Source organism: Homo sapiens, chromosome 14 (genome assembly GCF_000001405.40).
Source record: "Homo sapiens chromosome 14, GRCh38.p14 Primary Assembly".
Lineage (NCBI taxonomy): Eukaryota > Metazoa > Chordata > Mammalia > Primates > Hominidae > Homo > Homo sapiens.
Genome location: NC_000014.9, coordinates 91,374,937 through 91,402,453, shown reverse-complemented (window position 1 = coordinate 91,402,453; position 27,517 = coordinate 91,374,937). Strand labels below are relative to the sequence as shown.

At 51.5% G+C, this 27,517-nt stretch overlaps 1 protein-coding gene and 1 long non-coding RNA gene across 6 annotated transcripts in view, besides 15 other annotated features; both read left to right on the top strand.

The window, feature by feature from the left end:
* Positions 1-27,517, top strand: part of CCDC88C (coiled-coil domain containing 88C) — a 146,498-nt gene that overhangs the window by 15,367 nt on the left and 103,614 nt on the right. The gene's annotated exons all lie outside the window — the stretch shown is intronic.
* Positions 1,441-2,070: an enhancer, noted in NCBI's record as "H3K27ac-H3K4me1 hESC enhancer chr14:91866728-91867357 (GRCh37/hg19 assembly coordinates)". NCBI's record gives its function as "activates a minimal SCP1, AML or CMV promoter by ChIP-STARR-seq in primed H9 embryonic stem cells {active_cell/tissue: H9 hESC(primed)}" and the evidence as "EXISTENCE:reporter gene assay evidence [ECO:0000049][PMID:30033119]".
* Positions 1,441-2,270: a biological region, named in NCBI's record as "H3K27ac-H3K4me1 hESC enhancer GRCh37_chr14:91866728-91867357".
* Positions 1,911-2,270: an enhancer, noted in NCBI's record as "active region_8915". NCBI's record gives its function as "activates an Ori minimal core promoter by ATAC-STARR-seq in GM12878 lymphoblastoid cells {active_cell/tissue: GM12878}" and the evidence as "EXISTENCE:reporter gene assay evidence [ECO:0000049][PMID:35858748]".
* On the top strand, positions 2,255-23,813 carry LOC105370624 (uncharacterized). Of its 2 annotated transcripts, none has more exons than XR_944148.3 (2): positions 2,255-2,315; positions 22,569-23,813. It is a non-coding gene; the product is annotated as an uncharacterized LOC105370624 (long non-coding RNA). The 2 variants fall into 2 exon arrangements; XR_944149.3 differs by lacking the exon at positions 2,255-2,315 and adding an exon at positions 4,027-4,891.
* Positions 2,631-2,690: an enhancer, noted in NCBI's record as "active region_8914". NCBI's record gives its function as "activates an Ori minimal core promoter by ATAC-STARR-seq in GM12878 lymphoblastoid cells {active_cell/tissue: GM12878}" and the evidence as "EXISTENCE:reporter gene assay evidence [ECO:0000049][PMID:35858748]".
* Positions 3,332-3,963: an enhancer, noted in NCBI's record as "H3K27ac-H3K4me1 hESC enhancer chr14:91864835-91865466 (GRCh37/hg19 assembly coordinates)". NCBI's record gives its function as "activates a minimal SCP1, AML or CMV promoter by ChIP-STARR-seq in naive H9 embryonic stem cells {active_cell/tissue: H9 hESC(naive)}" and the evidence as "EXISTENCE:reporter gene assay evidence [ECO:0000049][PMID:30033119]".
* Positions 4,057-4,126: an enhancer, noted in NCBI's record as "active region_8913". NCBI's record gives its function as "activates an Ori minimal core promoter by ATAC-STARR-seq in GM12878 lymphoblastoid cells {active_cell/tissue: GM12878}" and the evidence as "EXISTENCE:reporter gene assay evidence [ECO:0000049][PMID:35858748]".
* Positions 13,663-14,489: an enhancer, noted in NCBI's record as "H3K27ac-H3K4me1 hESC enhancer chr14:91854309-91855135 (GRCh37/hg19 assembly coordinates)". NCBI's record gives its function as "activates a minimal SCP1, AML or CMV promoter by ChIP-STARR-seq in naive H9 embryonic stem cells {active_cell/tissue: H9 hESC(naive)}" and the evidence as "EXISTENCE:reporter gene assay evidence [ECO:0000049][PMID:30033119]".
* Positions 14,490-15,318: an enhancer, noted in NCBI's record as "H3K27ac-H3K4me1 hESC enhancer chr14:91853480-91854308 (GRCh37/hg19 assembly coordinates)". NCBI's record gives its function as "activates a minimal SCP1, AML or CMV promoter by ChIP-STARR-seq in naive H9 embryonic stem cells {active_cell/tissue: H9 hESC(naive)}" and the evidence as "EXISTENCE:reporter gene assay evidence [ECO:0000049][PMID:30033119]".
* Positions 18,633-19,422: an enhancer, noted in NCBI's record as "H3K27ac-H3K4me1 hESC enhancer chr14:91849376-91850165 (GRCh37/hg19 assembly coordinates)". NCBI's record gives its function as "activates a minimal SCP1, AML or CMV promoter by ChIP-STARR-seq in primed H9 embryonic stem cells {active_cell/tissue: H9 hESC(primed)}" and the evidence as "EXISTENCE:reporter gene assay evidence [ECO:0000049][PMID:30033119]".
* Positions 18,695-18,989: a silencer, noted in NCBI's record as "tiled region #757; HepG2 Repressive non-DNase unmatched - State 23:Low, and K562 Repressive non-DNase unmatched - State 23:Low". NCBI's record gives its function as "represses a minimal TATA promoter and a strong SV40 promoter by Sharpr-MPRA in HepG2 and K562 cells {active_cell/tissue: HepG2 | K562}" and the evidence as "EXISTENCE:reporter gene assay evidence [ECO:0000049][PMID:27701403]".
* Positions 19,423-20,213: an enhancer, noted in NCBI's record as "NANOG-H3K27ac-H3K4me1 hESC enhancer chr14:91848585-91849375 (GRCh37/hg19 assembly coordinates)". NCBI's record gives its function as "activates a minimal SCP1, AML or CMV promoter by ChIP-STARR-seq in primed H9 embryonic stem cells {active_cell/tissue: H9 hESC(primed)}" and the evidence as "EXISTENCE:reporter gene assay evidence [ECO:0000049][PMID:30033119]".
* Positions 21,208-21,337: a silencer, noted in NCBI's record as "silent region_6025". NCBI's record gives its function as "represses an Ori minimal core promoter by ATAC-STARR-seq in GM12878 lymphoblastoid cells {active_cell/tissue: GM12878}" and the evidence as "EXISTENCE:reporter gene assay evidence [ECO:0000049][PMID:35858748]".
* Positions 24,258-24,931: an enhancer, noted in NCBI's record as "H3K27ac-H3K4me1 hESC enhancer chr14:91843867-91844540 (GRCh37/hg19 assembly coordinates)". NCBI's record gives its function as "activates a minimal SCP1, AML or CMV promoter by ChIP-STARR-seq in naive H9 embryonic stem cells {active_cell/tissue: H9 hESC(naive)}" and the evidence as "EXISTENCE:reporter gene assay evidence [ECO:0000049][PMID:30033119]".
* Positions 25,105-25,364: an enhancer, noted in NCBI's record as "active region_8912". NCBI's record gives its function as "activates an Ori minimal core promoter by ATAC-STARR-seq in GM12878 lymphoblastoid cells {active_cell/tissue: GM12878}" and the evidence as "EXISTENCE:reporter gene assay evidence [ECO:0000049][PMID:35858748]".
* Positions 26,281-26,953: an enhancer, noted in NCBI's record as "NANOG-H3K4me1 hESC enhancer chr14:91841845-91842517 (GRCh37/hg19 assembly coordinates)". NCBI's record gives its function as "activates a minimal SCP1, AML or CMV promoter by ChIP-STARR-seq in naive H9 embryonic stem cells {active_cell/tissue: H9 hESC(naive)}" and the evidence as "EXISTENCE:reporter gene assay evidence [ECO:0000049][PMID:30033119]".

Below are 27,517 nucleotides of genomic sequence, written 5' to 3'. Positions count from 1 at the left end.
CTGTAACTTCTTCCTCTGCTCAGCCTTGTTTCTGAGATGTCAGCCTCTGTGGTAGTTGTATTAGATAAGCATGCTCTGTTTACTAAAAATTAGGATTATCTTTAAGAAATGTGGACATTTTGTTTGAAGAAGGAAAGTCTTTTAATTTGTGTTTTTTTGTTGTTGTTGTTGTTGCTGTTTGAGACAGTCTTGCTCGGTTTCCCAGGCCAAAGTGCAGTGGTATGATCATAGCTCACTGCAGTCTCAACCTCTCAGGCTCAAGCAGTTCTCCCACCTCAGCCTCCTGAGTAGCTGGGATCACAGGTGTGCGCCACCACGTCTGGCTACTTTTTTTTATTTTTAGTAGAAGCAAGGTCTCGCTAAGTTGACCAGGCTGGTCTCAAACTCCTGGGCTCAAGCAATCCTCCCGCCTCACCCTCTCAAAGTGCTGGGATTACAGGCATGATCCACCATGGAAAATCTTTTGTCAAAAGCGAGAATAGAAGGAAATGTCCATTTGACATTGTTGGTGGAAAGAACACGTTAAACTTGTGGCTGTGTTTCATTTGTGTGGTCTAGAGGGTTTAGTCCACTTAACTGCTTTGATGGGCAGGGACAGGATTCAAGGGAACTTAGAGTCCACTCAGGCAATGGCTACTGGTACAAGAGGCATTTGCTTTAGGAGTAATAATACGTTGTACAGAATTTGCAGAGGAGACATTAGTTTCTCCACTTTTGACTTCAAAGGTTAAAGAGGAGGGCCACATTTTTTATTTTGTAGCTCATGTCCACATTGTGAGGAAATTAAAAATAACATTTTTGATTATAAAAATATTTTCTGGCCAGGTGCGGTGGCTCACGCCTGTAATCCCAGCACTTTGGGAGGCCAAGGCAGACGGATCATGAGGTCAGGAGATAGAGACCATCCTGGCTAACATGGTGAAACCCTGTCTCTACTAAAAATACAAAAAAATTAGCCTGGTGTGGTGGTGGGCGACTGTAGTCCCAGCTACTCAGGAGGTTGAGGCAGGAGAATGGCGTGATCCTGGGAGGCAGAGGTTGCGGTGAGCCAAGATCGTGCCGCTACACTCCAGCCTGCGCGACAGAGTAAGGCTCCGTCTCAAAAAATATATATATATATAATATATGTAATATATAATAAATATATACATTATAATATATAATGTATATAATATATAATATATATAATGTATATATTATATAATATATAATATATAAATATATATATTCTTACTATGGATTAGGAAGTAGAAAGAAACTTAAGTTCACCTGTTATCTCAACACCTAGGTATACCACTGCCAGCATTTTGGTACTTGTGCTTGCTTTGTGTGTGTGTGTTTCTAAAGTGTGGCTCGTATCATTATACTGTTTGTAACCTGCCTTTTTTTCATTTACCAGGCAGTGAGAAAGCTTTTCCCTGCCATTAAATACTCTTTCATAATATGAATTTTGGTGTCTGTGTAACATTTTATCGTGTGGGTGTAACTACTATCATTGTCTCAGAATTATAAACCATACCACTGTGAACATACTTGGTACATAAGTCATTCAACAAATGTTCTTATTTCCTTAGCAGGGAGTTCCTAGGTCAAAGGACATGAATACTTTGAGAATTTTTGCTACTTACTGCCAAAATAGCCTTATTTATAGGTTTTTTCCTTTTTCTTTGGTCAGTTACCCATTTGTGTTCTTCACCCTTTGTGATTGTGTTGGTTAAAATGCAGCTATTTTAACAAATTGCTATTGCATGCTGAAGATTCTCGAGTCCCTGCCAGGCGGTGAGGTCCTGAGGTTGTGTTTGCAATGTCTGGGTGGACTTCGTTTTTGTTGGAGGATCTTGAGTGCCTTTTGGGGATCTCTCCAGCAGGACTGCCTGAGGGAATCGTAGTGGGGTTAGAGAACAAGGCAGCCATTAGGGGCAGGGCCTGGCTGTGGCCGGGAGTCCAGCTCTGGCCTGGGCTCTGTCCCCATGTCGGCAGCGGGAGCTTTTGTGGACCCAACCATCCGGAGGTCACAGTCAGCTTCCATGTGAAGGTTTGCAGTCCGTTCAGAATTCAAGAGCGAACCCTCCAGACTGCTGGGAGATGTGCCTGAGGAGGGCAATGGTCTGCGGGGGGTCCCCCGTCCTCCTCCCGATCCCCATTCCCTAGCTAGAGCTTGTATAATAGAAGAAGGAAATGCAGGATGTGGAAGCTCTGGTGGCCCCCAGGTGGGTGGGACTTGACAGGTTACCGGCTCTTCCTCTTTCTGTTTCTCTTTCTTGTCCTCTCCATGCCCGAGATGCTCACGTTTTGTGGGGTGGGAGAGTGGCCAGGTAAATCAGCTGCAATAACACCTGTGTACGCAGGACATGGGATATGGCCAGACACAGGCCTGGGGAGCAGGGATCCTGGAGAGCTTTCTCGGGGGAAATGTCTGCCTGCGGCTGGTGGGGTTGACTGGCAGGGAAGGGGTGTCCTCTGGGGAAGAGCGGCACCTGCAGAGCTTTGGAGACATAAAGCAGCCTGAAGGTTGGGGCGTCTCTTGCGGGTATGGGGGTGAGGCTCCAGGCTGTGCTTAGGTGCTTAGGGATCTCAACTACTTCTTCTTCTTCTTCTTTTTTTTTTTTTTTTTTGAGAGGGAGTCTCACTCTGTCGCCCAGGCTGGAGTGCAGTGGCGCGATCTCGGCTCACTGCAACCTCTGCCTCCTGGGTTCACATGATTCTCCTGCCTCAGCCTCCTGAGTAGCTGGGATTACAGGCACCTGCCATCATGCCTGGCACATTTTTTGTATTTTTAGTAGAGACGGGGTTTCACCGTGTTGGCCAGGCTGGTCTTGAACTCCTGACCTCAGATGATCCACCTGCCTCGGCCTCCCAAAGTGCTGGGATTACAGGCGTGAGCCACTGAGCCTGGCCTAGGAACCTGAACTTCTAAAAGAGAGAGCTTAGGAAAGAAAACTCCTGCTCCCATTTGGAGAATGCACAGGTGTTGGGAGGGGTTGGCAGGTGGCAGGGCCCTGGACTGTGGCCACGGCAGCAGAGAGAAGGACGAGCTCTAGGAGACTCTATGGGGATCCAGCCCAGATGTGGGAATCCAGGGCTGAGGGGTCCGTGGGTTCCTGGTGTGACTTGGGGTTGGGGCGTTGGTGCTGTTCTCTGGGTGGGCCTGGGGCTCTGGGTGAGGAGAAGTGGGCTTAGTGGGGAGCAAGCCAGCTTGGTGTCACTGGTGTCGGTCAGGTGGATCTGAGCGTTCCTGGCTGGGAATGCAGATGGGAGCCATGGGGAGGTTGGCTCAAGAGTCACAAGCAGGCATGGAGAATGAGAACTGCCCATGGCCAAGGAGGTGGGAGCAGGCCCCAGGGTTAGGGCTGGGCAGAGCACATGGGACTCCCCAAGATGACAGTGAGGAGTCCCCCAAGTGGGAGGACCAGAGGGAGAGTGGTCCGCAGAGAGGAGAACCCCTGAGGAGAGAGGGCACCAGCACACAGGGCTGCCCGAGGCCCAGGAGACCACTCAGCTGTGGGCGGCTCAGTGCCCACCTGGAGCAAGCACCCTAGAGGAGCAGGAACAGCCGTCTGGGCCGAGGAAAGCCATGCTCTGCAGCAGACCTGTGCGCCCCCAGGGCTGCAGGCTGCTGGCAGTAGCTTCCTGATCAGCCAGACAAGAGGGCTGCAGCTCTCAGGGCCACTAGAATCACCCTTTCCACACTTAACAAAAGGCCTGCACTCCCAGCCTGTGGTGCTCCCTGTCCTGCTGGCTCCTGCTGCTTGTATTTCTTTCAATTATTTATTTTACCTTTTTATTTATTTATTTTTGAGACAGGGTCTCACTCTGTCACCCATGCTGGAGTGCAGTGGCGCGATCATAGCTCATTGTAACCTCAAACTCCTGGGCTCAAGCAATCCTCCAGCCTCAATCTACCAAGTAGCTGGGACTACAGGTGTGCACCACCATGCCCAGCTAATTATTTTTGTATTTTTTGTAGAGATGGGGTCTCACTGTGTTGGCCAGGCTACTCAAACTCCTGGGCTCAAGCGATCCTCCTGCCTTGGCCTCCCAAGGTGTTGGGGTTACAGGCGTGAGCCACCATGCCAGCCAGTGTTGGTGTTACAAGCTCAGTGGTTCAACTGTTGGCCAGGGGTGAAGCAAACGGGCTGAGGACCTGGTGGTGTGCTGAACGCCCAAACCTCTTGGGAGGCAGATTTGGTTTCTGTAAGCTGTTAGAGTGCCAGTTGGACTTGTTTTCCTTTCTTTTCTCTCCTTTTTGTTGTCAGAAGAAATGCTGTCCAGGCATATCAGATAGCAGCGAGGAACTGTGGGACTCAGATCTGTGCCCAAATCAAAAGGCTGAGAGATGAATGGGAGGGAGCTTAACCTTTACTGAGTGCCCATGCTGGGGGCTTTAGAGCCTCGTCATTTTTCACTGTTACTTCGGTATTATAAAGAAGAAATTACTGTCTCCATTCGATAGATTAGGAAACCAAGGCTCATGGAGCAAGATCAGGAAACAGCCCCGGAAAGCTGCAAGTTTTCTTCATCATCAGCTGCTTGGAGAAGCTTCTTTCTAAAAGCCAGGCTTTCTAGAATCATGTAGGGAGGTAACTTGCTGCAGGTGGACGTGCTGTCCTGTAAAGGCTGGCAGGGCCAGTCAGGATCTGCACCCGCAGTGGGGTGGGGGTGCTGCGTGTGGTGTGCCCCCCAGCTGGGAGTGTGGGCTCCCGTGATAACCCGGCTTCACACCAGCCTGGAGCCCAGAGGAAGGGACCGGGTTGCTTCAGGCACCTCTGAAACTTCCGGGGTTGGGCGGAGGGTGGAACAGGGAGCAGCTGGCCTCAGACTTCACCCCTCACCCCAGAGCGGCAGGAAGCAGAGATTCAGGGTTAATTGCAGGTGTTGCAGAGGGCGAAAGGTGGGTTTGATGTAATTAGCAGAGTTGGAGTTCAGCCAGGGCAAGGAGATGGAGAGAATGTGTGTGTGTGAGTATGAGTGTGAGAGTGTGTGAGTGTGAGAGTGTGTGTGAGTGTGTGTGTGTACACAGTCTTTCTGTTCTCTGAGGCTTCCTTCTCTAGGACTTGAGTCAAGACCTTGATTTGCTGGGGCTTTTCTCCTGTTTCAGGAGCGGCCATCATTTCCTCAGCCTTTGCGGGAAGGAGGTTTGGCTCAGGAGTCTTGCTTTCACTCCTGGTGTTGGGGATGCCACCCAGGCCCCTGTGGCTGTCCCCTTGCCTGGGCCTGTTGGGCACAGCACCGAGCCCAGATGCTCAGAACATGCAGCCTCACAGGGTCTGCTTGGAGACCTGCCCACCTCTGGACATTGACACATCGGGACTTCCCCCAGGCCCCTCTCCCTCCCCTATTGGTGTTTGTTCCAGAATCATGTTTCTGATACAGGTTATCTTACCATGTCAAGTATTGATTTTTTCACCGTTTGCTCAAGTTTTTTTCTTTCTTTCTTTTTTTTTTGGTGACAGGGTCTTGCTCTGTGTAGCCCAGGCTGGAGTGCAGTGGTGCGATCACGGCTTACTGCAGCCTCGACCTTGACCTGCCAGGCTCAAGCAATCCTCCTGCCTCAGCCCCCCGAGTAGCTGGGACTACCAGCATGCACCACCACTTCTGGCTAATTTATGTTTCTGATTTTTTGTAGAGACAGAGTCTCCCTGTGTTGCCCAGGCTGGTCTCGAACTCCTGAAGTTGTTTCTTAATTCATGGCCATTTATTTACAGAGATGTGTGTTTATGAGCCCATCTTGGGGAGCACAAAGTAAGCAACAAAGCTTCTGGGAGTGGAAGCTGAGTGATCCCCTGATCGGAGGGCAAGGGGTCTGAATTTGTGCTTCCGGAAAAATTATGGCTGAAACGATGAATGTTAAGCTTGCAGAAGCCGCGAGTGAGCTGTGCTTGGTGTTCCCGGTGCTTGTCGGGCTCATTCTTAGTTAGCTCTCGTTCAGCTCCGATTGAAAGCTGCACTTGTGGGTGATGAGTGTTGTGGGAATCGAGTGATGCGGGCGTGAATGAAGGTTGGAAACACAGCTCACTTTATGGACATACCCTAAACGCCAAAGTGGGAGGAAGTGGCAGGAGGAACCAGTTCCTTTTGTGACAGAAAGGAGAGAAATGGATTTCTCAAGTCGTTAAAAAGAAAAAACAGAGGTTTCTCCTTTGCCTTGGGTTTGGTGTTAGATGCCAGGATCAGCATGTTTGATGTTCTCACTGGTTTGTCAAAAGGAGTTTCTGAAGAAGAACTTGCCCAGGCAGGCTCTGCCTCTCCGTGAAGCCGGCTGCGTGGCTCACCTCCAGGGCTCGTAACAGTTTTTGTTATTCAGCTCTTCTTTGGGGAATGGCAGAGATTCTCTGCTGCTTCGCCTTGGCATCCAGGGCCCCTTGATCCTTCGAGATGTAATTGTCGCGATATAATTGTCGTCTTATTTTTCTAGTAATGAGAGGAATGTCGAGGGAAGGAGGATGAGGAAGTGCTGGTCTTAAATTGGTGGTTTCAGCCAGTACTGTAAAAGTTGAAGGGGCCGCACTCTGTACCCCCAGTTCTGAGTTGGTGGTATTTAGGGGGGAGGCAGAGATTTCAGATAAAGAGTCAAGGCTGCCACGTTCCACTGGGAGGGTTCTATTGGTTTGGGATTGGGTTTCGGGGAGGCTAAGGGTTGAGGGGTGGTAATTCTACATGTAGGGGTGTTCTGTAGGGGAAGAGATGGGGCACACTGCAGCTCTAGGGAGAAGCCTCTGGTTGCTTTCCTTAGCTGCAGCTGGGCAATCCTGGCCTGGGGGCTGGTGGCCTGGGGAGGGAGCAGGCAGGTTTGCCTTCTCGGCTGGGGGATAACGTTAGCCACTGCCTGGTGGAAGTGGGTGAGCCAGCTCTGTGGGGTGACTTCTTTGGTTACCCGAAGGCCAGAAAAGTGAAGCCAGAGAACAAGGTGGAATGGGAGGTGGGAAGGCAGGAATGATGAGAGCTCTGCCACTGTGTCAGCTTGGGTCCCTGAACGCTTTCCCTGGTCCAGAAGCTTGTGTTCACTGTTCCCAGCAGTGTGACTTAGGGTGCATCGTCCAACCTCACCTGTAGAGCAGGGGTAAAAATTACCTTATAGGTGGTTGTGAGGCTCAAATGAGATCACAAGACGTTTCTTTAATCAGTGAATAATAATAGCGACAGCTCTGGGTCCCAGGCTGACTCTGCAGGGGACGTACTTGTTCACCTGTATTCTGCAGGCGGAGGGGGCAGTTACTTGCAGGTAGGGGTCTTGGGAGGCAGGAGACACAAATCCAAATAGAAATGGAAAAACAACCAAGAGCCTCACCATCTGCAGAGGCACAAGGTCGAATGGTGGGTTCCTTTGAGCGTACCCCTCAGATTTGTGGCCTTGGGTAAGTTACTTCATCTCTGAGAGTCTTTCTTATTTGAAAAGTGGAGATATTAATAGTGCCAGCCTGGGAGGGTTGTAGGAGGGGTTCTACAAAGGCCTTGTACTCAGGGGACACGTGGGTGGGAGGGGAGGATGCCCACCCGTCTGGCAGAGGGGTGGCAGGCAGGCCCCCCACCCAAGGCCCGTCCCCTGGCCACTCTGTGTTCATTTGTTACTGAGCGGATTATCCAAGGACCCCTCCCGGAGTAATGCGCTCTGATTCATTTGGATTAATCTTGCGAGTGTGCACGTGTGCCTGTCTCTAGCCCTGCACGTTTTTCTCCTGTATGATCGTTTTATTTTAAGCTGAGTGACTTACACATATTATCTCATCAAAGGAAGCCTCATGATTTTATCCCTCACCAGCAATAGAATTCCTTAAAAGCAGGCACTGAATCTTTCTGTTTGTCTGTCACACCAGCATGGAAATGTGTCTGCCGTCAGTCAGCATGTGTTAATGACAAGATACATAACAACGGAGGCCACCATTCAGTGGAGTAAATAATTCAGAGAATAAGTCATTACAATCAGGGAGCACGGTGTCACACCAGGCCTGGGCCGGGAATCCTGTCTCTAGGTTAAAATGACCCTGCAAAGTGCCCCCGACCTGCTGCCCTTTCTAGACTGTTGAATAATTAGAGGATGGGGCCTGCCTTGTTCCTCTGTGTCCCTGACACATGGCAGGGACCCAGACCCTGACTGTTTAGAGGGTAAACAGGGGTAAACCGGTATGGAGGTGCAATGCAGTGAGGGGGCTGGGCTGGAGCTTAGGGCTCCCCTACTGTTTTCACGCAGACCTGTAGGCTTTTCATGTGGTGTTTGCTTTGTTGATGGAAATGCCATATGTCAGGTACTGGGAGGCTCAGTCCCTGGGGGGTGGAAATTAAATTGATTGTTTTCAACTTTGTCTAGCCAGCTTGGCTCCCCTGAGCATTCTAAGGTTTAGGCTGAATGACTTTAAAATTTTAAGACTAAAATTTTTGCCTCCTTTCCAAACCTTAGTAACCAGACAGGCTCACCTTCTGCCCAGCAAGTCAGATTTACGTGCCTTTAAAGTGTGGAATTGTGGCTACTTAAAGGACAGAAACTCCGGAGCAGCTGGCACTTTTTGTGCTCAATTGGTCTTCTAGCACCCTGTTTTTAGGGTGAGAATTTGTGGCATTCAGATTTTACGGAGTAGAGCTCATGAAGTTGATTTCTTTTTTTTGAGACGGAGTCTCGCTCTGTCGCCCAGGCTGGAGTGCAGTGGTGCGATCTCGGCTCACTGCAACCTCTGTCTCCCAGGTTCAAGCAATTCTCCTGCCTCAGCCTCCTGAGTAACTGGGATTACAGGCATGGGCCACCATGCCCGGCTAATTTGGTATTTTTTAGTAGAGATGGGGTTTCACCATGTTGGACAGGCTGGGAAGTTGAATATTTCAGGTGGAAATGGACTAAGTTGCAGAGGCGAGTATCCCAAGCTTAGATGCCAGAAGAAGGAAGCGTTGGTGGTTTCTGAGAACTCTGGGCTATTTTGATAACCACCTGGGGCAGTTAATCCAAAACAGGTAGTCCAGACCTTCAGAGGAAGCCAGATCGGGGCTGAGGTGTGGGCCGTCTGGGAGGGCGCTTCTGTCTGTACCCCTTCTCCTACCTTGCCCTTGTTTCTTCCTTCGGGAGGTAGAATTCGCTCAGGTTGCCTCTGCCTCATCTGCCCCTCTGCCTGCAGGGCTGGGGGTTTAGGGGGTGGGGGGGCTCCCATCCTACTTGCGGACAGAATAGCTGGCACCTGGACCTGTCATCTCCCAGCTCAGCCTCTCCCGGGGCAGCTCCTCTTGTCCTCCAGGGCTGCCCTGACACTGGTGTGACCTGGGGCAAGCGGCCCAACCCCTCCTAGCCTGTTCCTCTTTTGTCAGATGGGGGTGATGACTGCACTCCCCTCCCTGGGTTGCAGTGATTCTGAGAGAGCCAGTGAGCGATTGGTGCCTGGGAAATGCCCAGCCCAGTGCCCAGGGGCCGTTTCCGGGAGCGGACTCCGGTACTGTCTCTCCCTCTCCCGCTGCCTCACACGTCCTGTCCTTGCAGTTTCTCCTTCCCCAGCACCTTTCCTTTTTCGCTATGTGAGGCCTTGAGGACTCTCTGGAATTTAACATCATTATCGCCGTCATCACACCCCTGGCCCTGACTTGTTTTCTCTGTGTCCCACCCTACATTGCAGACTCACTCAGGGCGGGGACTCCGGCAGCCTCTGCCTCTCCCAGGAAGTGCAGTGAGGGGGCTCAGTGAGAGTGAGGGGTGCAGTGAGAGTGAGGGGCGCGGTGAGAGTGAGGGGCGTGGTGAGAGTGAGGGGGCTCAGTGAGGGGTTGCAGTGAGGGGCCGCCCTTGCTGGGGTCCCTGGTGCTGCCTTCAAGAACTCCAAAGGGCCAGGTCCTCGGGCTGGGCTGGGCTTTAAAATGTTCCTTCTTTTATGCATCGCTGGTATGGAAACCCTGGGTTATTATCGGCTCTGGGTTTAAAAGATGAGGTAAATTGATTTCTAAAGGCAAAGCCACTTTGACAAGCCTTTTGATCTCATTCCTTTTGAACAGAAAGGAATTGGAAATGTGACCAGCTGAAGCCTCTCTCGTTTCTCTTTCCCCTTGAAAAGGTTCTCCTCCTCTAGCCCTAATTAAGGTGTCCTTCCCTGCTCTGGGTGGTTGAAGCCAGCCCCTCGGAGCTCCATGTCCACCGACTCCCACCTCTAGGTTTCCTGGATAGGGATTTTTGTTGTTGCTTTTGTTTTGTTTTGGCAGGGTTGGGGGTGGCATGTAGGAAAGGGTGATCTGAAGCCAGAGTTTATAGAGCATGTTAAGTTCTGGGTCTGTTTGAACTCCTCCTAGGTACAGGTTCAGGAAGGGAGAGCTGGAACCTCTGGAGGTGGCCGTGTTCGTGGGAACAGGGTCAGTGGGAGCAGCTGTCATGGTGGCCATGGGAGCTGCTACCCTGGAGGCCCCAGAGGCACTAGAGAGTCAGGAACAGCCAAATGGAGCCAGGGAGTGAACTCATGAGGCAACTTTGAGATCCAAGTGTATGTTCAGATTTAGTTGGAAAGAGTTTAGAAAGTAGCTGGATTGCGTCACTGCACTCCAGCCTGGGCGACAGAGCAAGACTCCGTCTCCAAAAAAAAAGAAAGTAGCTGGAAAGCGGACTTTCAGCTCCAGAGTAGAGTAAAAATTTTAAAAACAAGAAAAAGGAATATAGTACACTCAGGAACATGTAACTTCTGGTCTTTTAGGAAGCTGCCTCTTTTTTCTTTTTCTTTTTGAGACGGAGTCTTGCTCTGTCACCCAGGCTGGAGTACAGTGGCATGATCTCAGCTCACTGCAGCCTCAGCCCCCTGGGATCAAGCGATTCTCCTGCCTCAGCCTCCCGAGTAGCTGGGATTACAGGCACACGCCACCACGCCTGGATAATTTTTGTATTTTTGGTAGAGACGGGGTTTCACCATGTTGGCCAGGCTGGTCTCAAACTCCTGACCTCGAGTGATCTGCCCGCCTCGGCCTCCCAAAGTGCTGGGATTACAGGTGTGAGTCACTGTGCCCGGCCTACTTCTGACTTTTAAAAAGCAAGAAACACAGAGAGTTATTTGTGTAAGGGGTACAGAATTTCAGTTCTGCAAGATGAAAAGAGTTCTAGAAATGGATGGTGGGGATGGTTGCACAACAGCATAAATGTATTTAATGCCACTGAACTGTACACTTAAAACTTAACCATTTTAAGCTTTTTTTTAGGTTATGCATATTTTACCACAATTAAAAACGGGCACCCAGTGGGTTTTTTTTTTTGTTTTGTTTTGTTTTTAGCAGGAAGAGAGTTTGTACTGTGAGGATGATGGTAAACTAAAAGAACTGTGTTCTGCATTCCCTGGGTCCAGCATGAGGCTCAACACACAGGTGCCAGTGAATGGGCAAGCTTCTCAGGCTTCTAGAACATTCTGGTGTGTGGCTGCCATTGTGTTAAGCGCTTGGTGTTGAAGGCAGTGGGTGTTAGGACTGCTGCTAAGAATCCTTACTTCCTTCCCATTTCAGTCTTCACCTTCACTAGGTGGCATTTATTCTCATCTCAAAGATGAGGAGACAGAAGTTCAGAGAAACCAAGGACCCTGGGAACCTTGTCCCAGAGCCCAAGACCTTAAAACAAGGAAGTGGTGAGCCTGAGGACCGAATCCATGTTCTTCCTTTCTGGAGACCCCTGTCCTCTGCGCTCTCTGGTTCTGATAGGTGATGGGAGACCAGGTAAAGGAAGTGGGGTGCTTCCACCCCATTCTCTGGGCTTTGGAATCTGTTGTTTGGGTTTTTTTTTCTTTGTAACTCCCTTAGGCTCTGGGAATCCTGTAATAGGATGGGACCAGCCACTGGCTTTTCGCATGTGTACCTGGAAGGCGACTTTGGTATGGCCACTGGCCACTGGGAAGGTGCAGTGGGCTGGCCATGGACTTTGCCTCCTGGTGACCCACAACACTGACTTGGAACAGTTAGTTAGAAAACCCAGAGGCTGGAGGGGTGAGGGCCCTGTGGCAGCCTGTGCGTCACTGCCCCAGTGTTCTCTGTGATGGGAGGCTTTAATGAACAGGAGCGCCTCTGAGATGCCAGCTTGGTTTTTCTTCATTTAGCACAGAGCACGGGGCATACTTTCGGTGTTGCACTGAGTGAGAAGAGTCCCCACCCTCTCCAGTCTGATAACGAGGTGGAGATGCCAAAAGCATAAATTAAGCGGATGGAGGGTTTCTGTGGAACATATGGCTATGTGCCAGACGCCGTGCTTAAATCTGTGTCAAGGAGCAGAATCGGGCATCTACTAAGAATGTGTGTGACAGTCATCATAAGGGGTTTGGAACCCCAGCCCCGCCTTGAAAGTAGCAACTTGCTCCACTGAGGGAACAAAGTAACCATGGCTCATTGAGCAGGACTCATCAGCATTTCTTATATTTTCTCTTTTTTTTTTTTATCCTTTTTCTTTTTCTTTTTTTTTGAAACAGAGTCTCACCCTGTCGCCCAGGCTGGAGTGCAGTGGCACAATCTCGGCTCACTGCAAGCTCCGCCTCCCGGGTTCACGCCATTCTCCTGCCTCAGCCTCCCGAGGAGCTGGGACTACAGGCGCCCGCCACCACGCCCAGCTAATTTTTTGTATTTTTAGTAGAGATGGGGTTTCACCGTGTTAGCCAGGATGGTCTCCATCTCCTGACCTTGTGATCCGCCCGCCTCGGCCTCCCAAAGTGCTGGGATTACAGGCGTGAGCCACCGCGCCTGGCCAAGAAAAAGCTTTTCTCCTCTTTTTTTTTCTTTCTTTCGTTCTTTTTCTTTCTTTTTTTTTTTTTATTTTTTAAATAGAGCCAGGGTCTTGCTGTGTTGCCCAGGCTAGTCTGGAACTCCTGGGTTCAAGTGATCCTCCTGCCTCGGCCTCCCAAAGTGCTGGGATTACAGATGTGAGCCACCACGCCCAGCCAAAAATCTTTTTTCACTTGGAGTCAGCATAGAGGTTTTTCCACATCAAAGCAATTCCTCTTAAGCCCCAGCAGCCAAGGTACTCCTGTTGATGATGGATAGTCCTAGGATAGCAAAGCTTTTTAGAAGCTCATGCTTAAATCAAGCAGGACTAAACTGTCAGACACGGAAGCATCCCTTTCTACTTGAAACCTTTGGGGTCAGTGACCTTGACTTTGAACTTGGAATCACATCTTCAAGAGCAGTTGTTGACTTTTCCCCTGGGGAAGCCGGGAAGGCCAGGAGGAGGATGGAGCAGAGGTCAGGGCCCATGACCCTCTTTTCTCTTAACGTTTGGACTCGGAGGAAGCCTGGATGGAGCCATTTTCCCTCCTCACCGTACCTGTCCCTCCCTGGTTTGTAAACTACCCCCACTCCACTTGACCAGTAGCTGCTGAGGCCATAAGGGCCAGGCAGGTCTTCAGATGAACTAATTGGCTCCTCATTCAGGTGGGGGACAGGAGTGTCTCTGTGTACTTCAGTTTCCCTTGAACCTCATGTTGGGCTGGCGTGCAGACTAATATTCTGACAGGCTGAGCAGAATCAGGACCCTCGGTGCTTTATTTTCTGTCTTTTGTTTTTGTCACATGAATGATGGGGTCTGAAGAAGACAGAGACTCACGCACCATCCTGCCACCTCAGCACATTCAGGTGCTTCAGGGTTCCCTGCGGAGCCTGTGGCCCTTCCCTTGGAAGGGAATCTGTGGCTTTCGTGGGGACAGCTGAGGGCTATTAATACCCAGGGAAGTCCTTTCCACCAGCCCCAAAGGGAGAAGTTCACATCCCTCGCTGCAAGTGTGCTTGAGTCATGGCCCACAGTTAGAGCGGATCTCAGTCTGTGTTTGGTTGAAATGTCACGTGTTTGAGTGTTTCGATCCTTTTTAAGTCATTCTCTGTTTTGCGAGTGGCTGACAGCTCGCTGTGTGTGTTTCTTGTTTATACATCAGTTTGAGAGCTTACTGTGAGCGTCTGAGTTAAGCTCTGGGCAGCAGACGCGGTCACCGTCTGCTCAAGGCTGCTATAGCTCAGGTCACTCAGGAAAAGAGGGATCTAGTGTTGCTATGGCAGACACCTTAGCCCTGGACGTTTCCAGAACAGGCGCTACCTGGTACCTGCCTGGGCCTTGAGCACCTGAGGCCTGGAGGCTGTAGCATCAGTGTCAAGAACGTTGAGAAGCTGGGCCGAGGCAGCCTAGAGCCACGAGGCCCAGTCCCCTCATTTTACATGGGAGGTGGAGCGGGGGGTGGGCTGAGGCCACATGGTGAGTTAATAGCAGAGCTGGAGCTCACTTCTGTGTGACAGATGACAGAAATCTGGTCATACATTGGTTAGGGCCCTTCACACCCTGGCCGTCTCCCGCTTGCTGGCCGCAGCACAGTGGGGATATCGCTGGGGCGTGGTAACTGCTCCTCTGTGTTTAGGCTGATGGTGACTCTAAGGGGGATGGTTTCAGAGCAAGTCCTGATGGTGTGTGGCTTCGCTCAGCAGTGGAATGTTCAAGCTTGCAGGGACCTGAATCCCCAGCCGCAAGGCAGAACCAATGGGGAGCCCTTAAAATGCATTGTCTGGACCCCACCCCTTGTAGAGTGAGGGTTTCTGATTTAACTGGCCCAAGTGGGCTTGGCTGTCAGTATTATTTAAAAGCCGTTGTCTGAGGTGATTCCGACGTGCAGCCAGGGTTGGGCACTGCTGATCCTGCCCAAGCTGCTCCTCGTTTAGCCAACAAGAAAACTGAAACATGGGCCATTAAGTGGTTTTTGTCCATGCCATCAGCATCTCGGCTCTTGTCTCTCAGGGTGCTGCCTTCCCTCCTTTCCTTGTTTCCCTGTCAGGCATCAACCAGGAATCTTCCTGTGGCTGCATAAAGCCTTGTGGAAACTCCCTGGAGTGGCGACAGCTGGCCCGTGCACTTCTTGTGGTCAGAGCGACGGGAGGAGGCCTGTCTAGTCTGCCTCCTAGTGCCTTTGTCCAGGGCCTAACCCAGCAGGCAAGAGAGTTCAGGTTTGTCAGTTTCCATCTGGCTTTGGAAATCTGGGGGCAACAGAAAGAGAGCTCTTATAGGCGGCAACTGTCATTGCCTTCCTGGGAGCAGTTTTGTCTATATCGTGTGTGGTTCCCGCCACACATGCTGCGGAGGTAGCTTGGCCTGACTGGGCCTTTGGAAGAAGACGCAGCGGAGTGTAACCGTCATCTGAGCCAATTCGCCAAACCTCCATGGCCCGGACGTTGGCACTCTCCATGACAACCCGTAGAGGTTCTGTGGTTGTGGGAACGGAGCTGAGAGGTTCAGTAACACAGCTCAGCCCCTTGAAACTGACTGTCAGTTCTATAAAGGAGTTAAATTATCTTTGCGTAAACATTGTGTGTTTAGAGCCCCGTGGTTGATTTTCTTTTCCCAGAACAAGTCCTTGTGTTAGGCTGTGCGTTTTGGATGTGGACAGTTGCGCCAAAAGCTGATTCCACTTTGGGCGAGTCACTCTGCATCTTTATGCCTCATTTTCCACATTCATAAAGTGGGAATCACAACAAGGTTAGATTAGACTGAGGATAAATAAGTTAGTATATTTAAAATACTTAGAATGGTGCTGGGCGCTTAGTACACAAATATTAACAATTACCACCACTTTTGCATTTCATCACAGAGGATGCCCAGTACTACCTCATTGTGGTGGGTCCTGGCTACCTTCTCTGGCAGAGATGACTTAGTTGGTCCCAAGCCCCTAAAGTGGGGCTAGCCTGGGTCATAGCCCATGAATGCAGAGCCCAGGGCTGTTTTGGCGCTGGGCGTGAGGAGAAAGTGTGCTGGCCTCTAAGATGGAATCCACAAGGCTTCCCTCCCATTTGAACAATCACGTCCAACACTGGGCTCGGCCATGGTGGAAAGTCTAAAAGGTGGCATGCAAGCTGCATGAGCAGAAAACACACAGATTGGCCCGAGCATGGAGACTGTCAGCTTCCAGAGCAGGGTCGCACATTGGGGTGGCGAATGAACTATGGCCACCGTGGCAGGTGTGTGTGTGGCATGCGCAGATGTGCACAGGCCCTGTCGGTTCTACCATTGGTCTCCTCTACTGTTTATTTGTTTATTTATTTATTTAGAGATGGAGTTTCACTCTTGTTTCCCGGGCCGGACTGCAAAGGTGTGATCTTGGCTCACTGCAACCTCTGCCTTCTGGGTTTGAGTGATTCTCCTGCCTCAGCCTCGCGAGTAGCTGGGATTACAGGCACCCACCACCATGCCCAGCTAGGTTTTTGTTTTTTTTTTTTTTTGTATTTTTAGTAGAGACAGGGTTTCACCATGTTGGCCAGGCTGGTCTCGAACTCCTGTCCTCAAGTGATCCACCCACCTCGGCCTCCCAAAGTGCTGGGATTACAAGCGTGAGCCACCGCGCCCGGCCTGCTCTACTTTTTAAATTGTTGGCTCATCATAGAAAGAGCTCAGTCATCACAGGATCTATAAAGAGTGTGAAGTAGATGGTTCAGGAAGTATTGTCCCCATTTTACAGATAGGTAATGAGGCCCTGGGATGTTAACTGGCTTGCTCAGGGTCACACATGGCTAGTGAGTGTCAGACCTGAAATTGGAATACAGGCCATTCTGCTCCTGGCCCAATGTTTTTCTCTGTACTGTGTGGCCTCTGATATAGAAATGCATGTGGACAGTTCTCCTAGGAGGTGGAGATGTGTCATAGGCAGCAAGCCCTGTGCCCCACCCAGGACAAAAGCAGGCTTTTAGTTTTAATTAATTATTTTTTTTTTTAAAGAGGCAGGGTCTTGCTATGTTGCCCAGGCTGGTCTGGAACTTCTAGTTTCAAGCAGTCCTCCCACCTTGGCCTCCCAAAGTGCTAGGATTACAGGTGTGAGCCACCACACCTGGTCAAAAGCAGGCTTTTAAAACCCTGGAATATCTAGCCCCCTGTTCGGCACACCCTGGACTACCAAAGAGGGGCAACCAGCTTTTGATGTCCGAGTTTGGCCTTGCCGCCCACCTTGTGACCTGAGGCCCTTCTCCAAACACAGGTTTTCTGTGGGCCAAGTGGGCACGGAAACCCTCACCTCCCAGGGCTGGGCAAGCTGCGAGACATCTGGCACTGTGTTAGCTCCTCCTCCTGGGAACCTTCTCACTGAGGCTGTAGGAGGCTCCCACCTTCGTAATATGCGTCAGGGTGCTGCTGTCTGTCAGAATCGAGGCCTGATGGGGTGGGGGTGGTGGGGAGTACATGCCATGAGGGCGTTTCTTGTGCTAAAGTTACTTGTGGGGTGAGAGAACCCTGGGTCTGGGGTAGAGATGGAAAGGTGTGTTGGGGCCCTGGCTGCGGTGGGCTGGCATTCATTGGTAGACTTCTTAGGTAAACCTCCTGGCCGGTGGGTGACACTTTCCACGTGGGCTCTGTGTGCTTTGGGGTCTTGCAGAGCAGCACACCCAAACCTCAAAGTAAAACTACCTGAGCGTGCTGTGTCCTGGTGGACCTTGTCTGTCTTAGAAAAGGATTGGTAGTGCCGGTCTCACCATGTGGCTCATTAGAAAAGGCTTCCAGGGATCTGAGGGATCACACTGCATTTCTTCATGGGGAGAATGTGCTTTGGAAGGAAAAAGTTTGTCATCTTTAGAGGATGGGAACTGTAGTATCCTTTGCCGTTGGGTGGATGGTGCCCTAAGAACCACCCCCGTGCTGTGGATTTGAGGGTCAGGGTTTGGAGCATCACCCGTGGGCTTCATCCACCCTTGGGGCTGTCTGTGGCCAGGAAGGGAGTGGGGGAGGACTCCAGGATCCGGAGTCCAGCAGCACACTGGGCTTGTTCGCAGCACATTGACAAGCCTGGTTCCCCAGCTGGCCCTGCACCATAGAGCAGCCGCACGTGTTGGAGAGAGCAGCTGATGGGCGTCCCAGGTGTGCAGTTGGGGTAGGCTGGCCACCCTTTCCTCCCGGTGCCAGTGCGTAGTGTGCAGCACAATAGTGAAGGTCATAGTTTTTCCACCTGAGAATTTTTGGTTTATTATTTTTAAGAGATGGGGTGATGATTATGATGAAGAAGGTGAAGAAGCAGATGAGGAAGGGGAAGAAGGAGGAGATGAGGAAAATGATCCAGACTATGACCCAAAGAAGGATCAAAACCCAACAGAGTGCAAGCAGCAGTGAAGCAGGATGGTCTACCTTCCGCTTCCCTGGAAAGGATGAATTTACATCATTTGACAAGCCTATTTTCAAGTTATTTGTTGTTTGTTTGCTTGTTTTTGTTTTTGCAGCCTAAAATAAAAATTTCAAATACAAAAAAAAAAAAAAAAGAGAGATGGGGGTCTCGCTATGTTGATCAGGCTGGTCTCGAACTCCTAGACTCAAACGATCCTCCCACCTCAGCCTCCCAAAGTGCTAGGATTACAGATGTGAGCCACCACGCCTAGCCTCCACCTGAGAGTTTTTGGATAATCTTCATGGCTTGGATGTTGACGCATTGGCTTTTGCACCTCGGTCTAATTGGATGCACCAGTCCTCTTGGTACCCAGATGTGGTGCCCTAGGAACATCTTCCCGGGATGCACCAGTGTGCCGTGGTACCCAGGTGTGGCACTCCAGAAGGCTGTGCCCTCACACTGCCTGCAGAATGGGTGTTTATAGTAGTAACAGAGGGAGGCTGCTTTCTGCAGGTGTCACAGCATCACCCATTACTGGAAAAGTTTACATACAGATAAATTTGTTTCTGCCTCACAGTGAGAAAGAAGCCTCTTCTCTTCTGGGGCTATCACCTTCCAGTGCTAGGTCCTCTTCATTGGAGACCCCTCCCTGTCACAGCACAATGTGGGTAATAAAATGGTTTGTGACCTGCGGGAGTCCTTGTGTCTTTTCCCAGTGCTTGCTTTCCCCAGGAATGGGGCTGTTCCCAGGGGTGTCTGGTTTCCAACTGGCCATTCATCCGGTCCCCACACTATTAAGCAGCAAGAACTGGTTTTGCAAAGTAAACCGATACCTCGTGGAGTATCCTCAGCCAGCAAGGATGAGACAGTTTAATAAGTGCCTGGCGACCTCCGAGGAGGCAGAGTGTCCCTGGCTCCCCACTTTCTCCACCCCCTTCCTCCTGGCTCCCGGACATCTGAGTGCCCAAGCAGAAAGAGGGAGGGGCTTTCTCATTCCTTGGTGCTGGGGAGGAGGCCTTGATCAAAGTAGTGGTGTTTGGTGGAAACAACGACAGTCTTTCTTGGGGGTTCTGTTCATGGCCCCCTGAGATTCCTGGCTGGGCCCCCCACGGCAGCATGGCCAGCCTGGGCTTTGGGCAGTCTCCTTGGGAGATGAGCCGTTCTGTGGAACGGATTGCCCTGGGCACTCCAGGCCTGGCAGAGCCAGGGTTCGAGGGGGTGACTCTCTTACCTTTGAGAAGCAGCTTCCCCAGCTCCAAGTCTACAGATGGTGAGGAGAATAGGGCTCTATAAGAAAGCTGGAGGCTGCAGTGATGCAGGAAGGCACTGGGCTGGAAGGTGCTGGGAAGGGGTGCACTGGAGCCCTGGGGTCCTTCAGTAGGATCTGGCTTTAAGATGAGGCTTTGCGGGAGGCAGGAGCAACCCCAGAGTTGGAGGATGGAAGGAGGGATAGTGACTGACAGGCCCCTGCTTTGTAGCCTCCTGGGTAAGTAGGATGAGGGTCACAGCCCAGGGCTTTTCAGATTTCCGGGGCCTGTGACACTGGTTGTTAAAGAGGCACAATCAGATGACACCTGGGCCCTGAGAGGCCCTAGTCTTTATATTGCAGGAGATAAAGCAGAGAATTTTAAAGCGGGTGCGTAGCCTGGGTTTGGAGTGTTCGCTTGAGTCTGTGCCAAAAATCCAAGCAGACAAGGTCGTCCCTTGAATTTTCTGTAGGAGGCCAGGTAGTCCTTGGGAGCATCTATGCATGCCTGTACCTACTTCTTGGGCTGAGGTCAGATTTAATTTCATCCCCAGCTTTGGTGGTTGTGTATTTCTCCGTCTTCTCTGGGTCATCTCTGCCTCACCTGCTAGATGGTGTCTGTAGGACCCATGTCCTGTAGAACAAAGGGAAACACGCTGAGCTGGAGATGGAACAGCTTTCTTAGGGACCTGACTTTGAAGAACCTTTCAGGGTCTGTTATTCCTGACAAAGAAGGCCAATTTAGAGTCCAGATAAGCTGGGGAAAGATTGTGTTCTCATGTTTTGCATAATCTCCAAGGTGCTGTGTCATGGGGCCCGCCATGTTGAAAGGGTCTCTGGAAACCACCTGGTCCAGGGAGTGGCAGATAGGTTTAATCTTGAGTTGATTGGTTGTGGCTGCCCAGAGGGCTGTGTTGAGAAGGATTATGAGGCCTCTGCGTTGAGATTTGTGGAAAAGAGTGCTTCATCAATTAGTGATGTCTGCTGTGGGGGCAGGAGGTGGACAGTAGCGCTCCATACACAGTGTTTGCTATCTCTCATCTTACAGATGAGAAAACCAGGGCCCAGAGAAATTGTGACTTGTCTCTGTATTTAATGGCGGGTCTGAAACTTAAACCTAAGGCTGCTGAGATCCAACCCAGTGCTCTTTCTACTTCCCTGACATTACAGAACCTATCCTAGTAGAGGATGAGTCAAAGTGTGAAACAATGAAGACAAGATGTCGTGATAAAATGGGCTGTTCAGAAAATACACCGTGGAAGGCATCAAGAAGGAGGCAGGGAGGTGGGCTCGGACTGGAGAGAGGAGTGAGCTGAGTCTCGCAAGAAAGGGCCGGTTTTTTGTTGTTTTTGTTTTTCGAGACAGAGTCTTGCTCCGTTGCCCTGGCTGGCACGATCTTGGCTCACCGCAACCTCTGCCTCCTGGGTTCAAGCGATTCTCCTGCCTCAGCCTCCCAAGTACCTGGAATTACATGCACGCGCCACCATGCCCAGATAATTGTTTGTATTTTTAGTAGAGACGGGGTTTCACCAAGTTGGCCAGGGTGGTCTCGAACTCCTGACTTCAATTGATCCACCCAACTTGGCCTCCCAAAGTGCTAGGATTACAGGCATGAGCCACCGCACCCGGCCAAAAGGCCCGGCTTGAATGGAAGACAGTCTGCAGTCCCCTGCAGGGGCCACCTGGGGCAGAAAGTGTTGCTGCCTGCTCTCTTCTTGGGTCAAGTTTTAAAGCATTTTTCTTCAGTAGCAGGAAGAGGATGCAACTTTCGTGGGCATAGAGAATATAGAGAAGATCACATCCTAAACCCAAAAAATTCCTCCCCAAGTTTGCGGGCTGGTTGGTCACATCTGTGTCCCCAGTACCCTGTGCACAGGTTGTTTGAGATTTGGAGTTTGACCCCCTCACGGGCATGTGTGAGGGGTCTGGTGGGTCACAGTCTCCTTCAGAGGACAAGCTGGGGGACAGGAGACTCAGACCGTACCGGGAAAGCCCCACACCTTTCAGTTCTGCCCACCCACAGGTGCTTCTCTGGGAGCCCCTGAGTGATGGAGGTAACCTTTCCTGTAATGGGACCAGTGGCTTTCAGTGGGTTAAACAGAGGGTGGACCAGGGCACACACTGCTTCACAGCCCTGTTTGTGGTCCATTTTTCTTGCAGGAAGGGGCATCAGTTTGGCACTTAGAAGAGTTACTTAAATTTTTCCACCAGCAATGCTATTACACCCTTACCGGATTGGTGGGCCACGTTGTCAGCCTTCCAAGTTCCCATTCTCCTTGGCTGGTGGTTAGTGGTTATAGTCACAGAAGGGAGGACTACAGGGAGGATACGGGGCGTGCAAATCACAAACGCTCCCTGGGGACTGCAGCTTCCACCAACACAGTTCTCTCTCCATGGTCTCCCCCGCCCCTTCCCTCTGTCTCCTACTTCTGGGCTGGCCTCCAAACACATACAGAGGCCTTCATTTTAAGAGGCACATAGGGGAAAAAAAAACAACTTCAGAGCATGTAATTGTGGTTATGTAAGAAAACGCCAATATTCTTTAGAGGCACATTCTGATGGAGAAGTGGAATGACATGATGCTGGAGTTTGCTTTAAAATTCTTTCCCTTTACAGCAAAGGGAAAAAAGATGGAGCCAATCTTGCTTGTTGTTGAATTGGAGGGTATACAGGGGCTTATTGTACTGTCTGCTTTTATTTGCATTTGAGACTTTTCACAATAAAAATGTTTTTAAAGTGTATAGAATTCTAATGACAACTTTTTGGCTTGCATGTAATTTTTGGCGCTCTTCTAAAAACTGATTTACCTATTGAGAGATGCGGGCCTGACTCCTACACCAGCACTGTGTTCTTGGGACTTTGCTGCTGCCGCCTCCTAGCTGAACACTGGTGTGCTTTATGTAAGGTTTTCTGAAAAGCTGCAGTATGTCCAGCCGCCCCAAGATAGCCGAATCCTATTATTAACAGTTTTACAAAGGTTATTTGTACTCTTGCATAAATAGTAATGTGAGTTTTGTTTTTACTAGACAAATATTGATTGAACATATATGTGGGAAAACAAATATGAGGAAATGAATGAGGTGGGGGAGGGACCCTGACTGTCTCAGGACCCTGCTCCGGAAGCTGGCAAGGGAGACACCCCTGTAAGGAGAAAGGACCTTCAGCGTGGAGTTGGTTCTCACGGTGGGCTCGCGCAGTTCCCAACAGTTTTACCCCTTTCGATATCCCCGTAGTGAGCCTGTATTCAGCCCCCAAACGCCTTTTCCTTTAGTAAAATCTTCTCATCCTGTTTTCAGGATAGACCCTTTTTCCGGTAACTAAACTTCTTGCGGGCAGACACAGCGTTTGAGTTTTCGCATTGGCTTCAAACAAACCCAGTGGAAGTGGACAGTGAACAAGACACCCCCGCAGGAGGCCCGGGCACGGGGTGTGGCTGCCAGGCCTGGCCATGGAAGGCCATCACTGTGGGCTCTTCTGGGAGTGGCACTGACAGCCAGCAAGGAGAATGGGTGCTGGGGCGGAGTGGAAGAAGGTGAGCTTGAGGCCGGAGTTCCTACCCCAGGAGGCACCGTCAGCGTCCCACTTCTGCTCGTGTGATCCCCTGGAGGCACCTGAATCAGGCAGTAAACATGGAGTGAGAAACACCGGAGTAGAAGACCTTGCAACAGCACATGTGTGGGCCCAGTTCCTAGCTGCCCCGGGTGGCCAAGGCCACATCCTGTACACACAGGTCTGGGAGTGTCTGCATTTCAGCCCTTGACCGTGAACTTGACCCTCTGGAGGTGTCCATCTTGATGTGATCCTCTGACTGCAACCTCATCCTCTGCCTCTCAGAGCTGCCTCCCCCTGTGGCTTCTTGCCCTGAGGCATGGGAGGCGTTGGTGCCAGGAGCTTGGGGTTTGAGTCAGGTTGGCTCGGGGATAAGACCCAGCCTTTCCACACATTAGTTTGTGATGCTGGGTCATAGTGCGTCTGTTTGCTCCCTGTCAAGGGACCAGTAACATGAGGGGTCAGAGAAGGGATCAGAACTCTCGTGGGCCTCCAGTGTGTCGCAAGTTTTTGCTGTTCTGCTTTTCCTCAGCTGCTGGTGGGAATGCAAATTGCTGTGCTGACTTTGGAAAAACTCTCCGGCAGTAAAGCCTAAAGTTCCACATCCACACACCGTACTGTGGCCCAGCTGATTTCTCTCCTAAGGGTATCCCGGAGTAACTTCTGCACATGGATGCCTGGGACTTTACAGCCCTTCTGCACACAATAACAGAAACCTGGAAGCCACCCAGATGCCCATCAGTGGGAGAAGGGATGAATACACGAAGACACGATCACACAATGGAATATTATACAGCTGTCCAAACACATTAACTGCAGCATAACTTCAGTGATGTAGGTGGATTCTGGCAATATCATAAATATTAGTAAAAATAGCATGTTCCCAATGATGACTTACAGCACTATGCCTTTTAAAAATAAAGTTAAAAGCAACTACAATGACTGTACTCTCTAGGAAAATTTACAGGTGCAATAAAACTACATAAAAAAGAGCATGGGAATGTGTACTTCTCATTCCGTTTTTGGTGTCTTGGGTGGCAGGAGGTGGCAGTGTGCTGGGGGCGCCATCTGGTTGGCTGTAGGTTATTGTCAAGGCCCTAGCCTTTGTTTCAGCTGGTGGGTGTGCAGGTGGTTATTACATTGTGAAAAGTGACTAAGTGGAAGTGGGCCATGTGCAAACCAAAGATGAGTGTCCCGAGCCAAGGACTGCCATGAACAATTAACCCAGTTCCCTGCATGTCAGGCCCAGCGCTCCCCGGGCCCCAAGCTGGTTTAGCTGAGGCTGTGATGGCCTGGCGTTCACTGGGGGAGGGGGTGGAGTCTGCTTTTCCAGTTACTCTTTCCCCTGCTTCTCTTGTCACCCCCTGTCCCTCCAGCTCAGGCCTCCCCACTTCAGGATGCCTGCTGGCTGTAGTGACCTCTGCCAGCTTGCGGCTTTGCACTTCCTCAACTACTGTTTCCTATCTGTGTCACACAATTATTGCCTTGTTATAGATGGCCTCACCCACTAATCATTTCCACATGTGCGTGTGTCTTTTAATGAGCTGGTAATCTCCACAGGGCCAGAGGTCATGTTTTATCTCCTCTAATGTGGCAGATTTCTGCCCAATTCTGTACCACTCTCCTCTTCTTCCTTACTTAAAGAACCCCCAGTCTCCCCTCAGCTAGGCAGTGCCATGTGGCTGCATGGCATGTATGGAGCAGCGTCGTGTGCTCCTGGGAAGCCTTCCTAGAAGGAGGAGGCAGCGCGCCTCCCTTCCCCCTTCCTCCTTCCTGCTGCACGCACTGCAGCGTAATGGCTGGAGGTCCAGTCCCCACAGAGGGGCAACCAGACAGAGACTGGTCCCTGACACCCAGCACTGGGGGGCTCGTATAGCAGCTTTGGGCTGCCTGTCTCCTGAGAAACTTCAATCTTGTGTAAGTCACAATTTTTAAGGTCTTTGTTACTCACAGATGAACATAATTCTCAGGGGTGCATCTTGTAACCCTCCCCACCATGGTTCTTAGCACTTCTGGGTACATAATGATTATACTGTGAATCCTGTGGGTTAAAAAAGTCAGAACCTTGAAGTGGCACCGGGGGGGGGCCATCTGCATTTAGCAAGAGATCTGGACTCTCAAGAACTGACGACGAGTCCCATGATGCGTCCCATGCTCGGGTGGCCGGGGTGCATCCCTTAACCCCCTGAACTCCACTTGCTCGCTGGTTCAGGGAGTGAATAACCGCGCCTGCCGACCTCAGAGCTAAGTGGCATAGATCGTCAGCAGTTCAGCACCATCGCTCCGGCTCTCATGCGCGTGAACTGTCATCTTCACAGCAGGCCTCAGGCTGGGAGCTCCGCGGTGGAAGAGTAAGCTCATGTCTCAGCCTGCCACACAGGAATGGGTGGAAGGGCTCGCGTGGCACCCATGCCCTGTCCCTGGCAACTGATGCTGCCAGCCCTCAGTGGCCACTGCCACCCCCTCCTCCTGAGAAAAGCTCAGGGCAGGCAGTCTGAGGTGGGATGAGCTTGTTTGTTCAGGTGGGGGTGCTTTTTCATGGTTTCTGTTTCTCTTTGTTTTTTCTCCTTTCTTCAAGACCAGTGTCTCAGTGGACACAGGGTGAGAGCCACTTTGTGGCAGTTGGTTAGGGAGGGGGGGCGGGCAGGCAGCTTTGCTCGGGTGGGTGTGGAGTGGCTGGTCTGCCCACCCGGAGCAGTTCTTCACGATGTCCTGGGGCCAGCCCCACTTTCCCAGGTCTGGGTGGCCGGGGCTGTGGCAGTCACTTTGGGATATTAACCTCAGGGGCTCGGCAGTGTGACTGAGAGACAGACATCCTTTCCTACCTCGGCAGGCCTGGGTGTCGTGGGCAGCCAGCTGGGGGCTGAACCGACACTGGGCTTACCTGGGGGTGCGTGGCCCCCATGGGAGGGCACCATCCAGGGGACCCCTGGGCCTCCCCACAGACAGCACCAGCCACTCTTCCGCATCTCTGCTCTCTGCCTCTGCTGCCAGGTGGCTCTCAGGATGCCCAGCTGCAGGCTTCCCGGCATTCCTTCTCACCTCTGCGTTCATGCAGGAAATGTTTGTTTAGAGCCTCCCTGTGCCCCACCAGGGCTGTGTTCCCACCTGTGGGCTCTCCAGAGACGGCGGTGGATAAAAGTCCCTCACTACCTTGACTGTGGTTCCTGGGGGGCAGGGGTCCTATCTGTTTCCATTCACTATAACGCCCTGGCTCCTAGCACATGCCTTGAGGGGACGGGGGCTCACTAAACGCTTGTTGGGTGAGTGAATGAACACATGAGTGGATATAAAATCGAGGCAGTCATGAGTGTGCAAAGCGCAGAAGATGGCGACCAAGGTCAGGGAGCAGGAGCAGACAGCGCCCCCACCACCAGCCAGACATGCATATGCCCGGCGACGAGCACCTGGGTGTTTCAGGAGGCTCTGAGCTCACAGGAGAGAAGCCTGACCTATGATCGTCACCCTGTCCTGGGGGGCAGCAGCGGGAGTGACAAGTGTGGCCTTTCCTGGCTGCCACAGCCTAAAGGGTCCTCTGCGCCTGCCAGCTCCTCAGGTCTCCTCCGCAGATACATTTGGGCTGCTGGCTGTTGGCTGACTGGGTTCAAGCCTCTTCTCCTGTGAACTCGCGGGGCTGGAAGGTCTACGTTTCCAGCCCCAGCCTCGCCACTTGTAGTCATGTGACCCCAGGGCACATCCTTACTGTCTGTATCTCAGTTTATTCCTCTGTAAAATGGGCACAGTTACGGCACCTGCCCCATTGAACGCAAGAAGATGCATGCCTGCTGGAAAGGGTCAGATCAGAAGGAGACATTTGCCCCCCACTCGCCCTGAGGAGCCTCGCACAGGGAAGGTGCTCCGGGCACGGACAGGGTTGAGTCTCCCCTCATCTCGTGGCTTGGGCTGGAAGAGTCCACTTGCTGCCGAGGCAGGGCTGGCACAGACTGCCATCCTGCTTGGCTTGGCCATGGGAACAGCTGGTGAGGGTGCTTTTATTTGCCTGAAGTGTGGGCTCTCGGCCGGCCCTGCGGGGAAGCCAGAGCAGCTGGTCTGCCTCGTGAGCAGGTGCCGGGGCGGGTCTGTGCGCCTGCCCTTCCCTCCTTCCCCGAAAACGCTCTTTGATTCCGCTGCCCACCCCCCTCTTCCCCACCTCACCCACATCTGAAGAAAAGCTTCCCTACTTAAAGGAAAAAAGGAAGAATAAGCTTCATCTGATTTGATTTTTTTTGGAGTCCTCAGGTCGGAGCCTCACACAGCAGGGGTCCAGTTGGTCTAATTGAAGGGCATTGTTTCTGTCCCAGTCCTTTAGATTCAGGCTGTTCACACAGCCTGTCTCTCTCTCTCCCACATGCGCGCGCGCACACACACACACAGACACGCGCGCATGCTAACCCTGGGGCCTGTGGCCCTTCATTAGCTCATTTGGCAAATGATGGCTGAGCCCTGCTGTGTGCCAGGCCCTGGGAGAGCCCTGGGGAGCGAGACCGCCCAGATCACCACCCTCAGGAGCCCACAGCCCAAGAAGGAGACTCGAAGAGTAAGGCTGGTTTAGCAGAGGAAACTCAGTCTGTAGCTTCGTAACTAGTGAAGAGAGTTCCTGGTGTTTTGCCCACATCCCCTCGGCATGTTGTATACCACATACGTGTTACAGTGCCTGTCCCATTGGGCTCCGTAAGGGAGTGTCACCACATCTTCA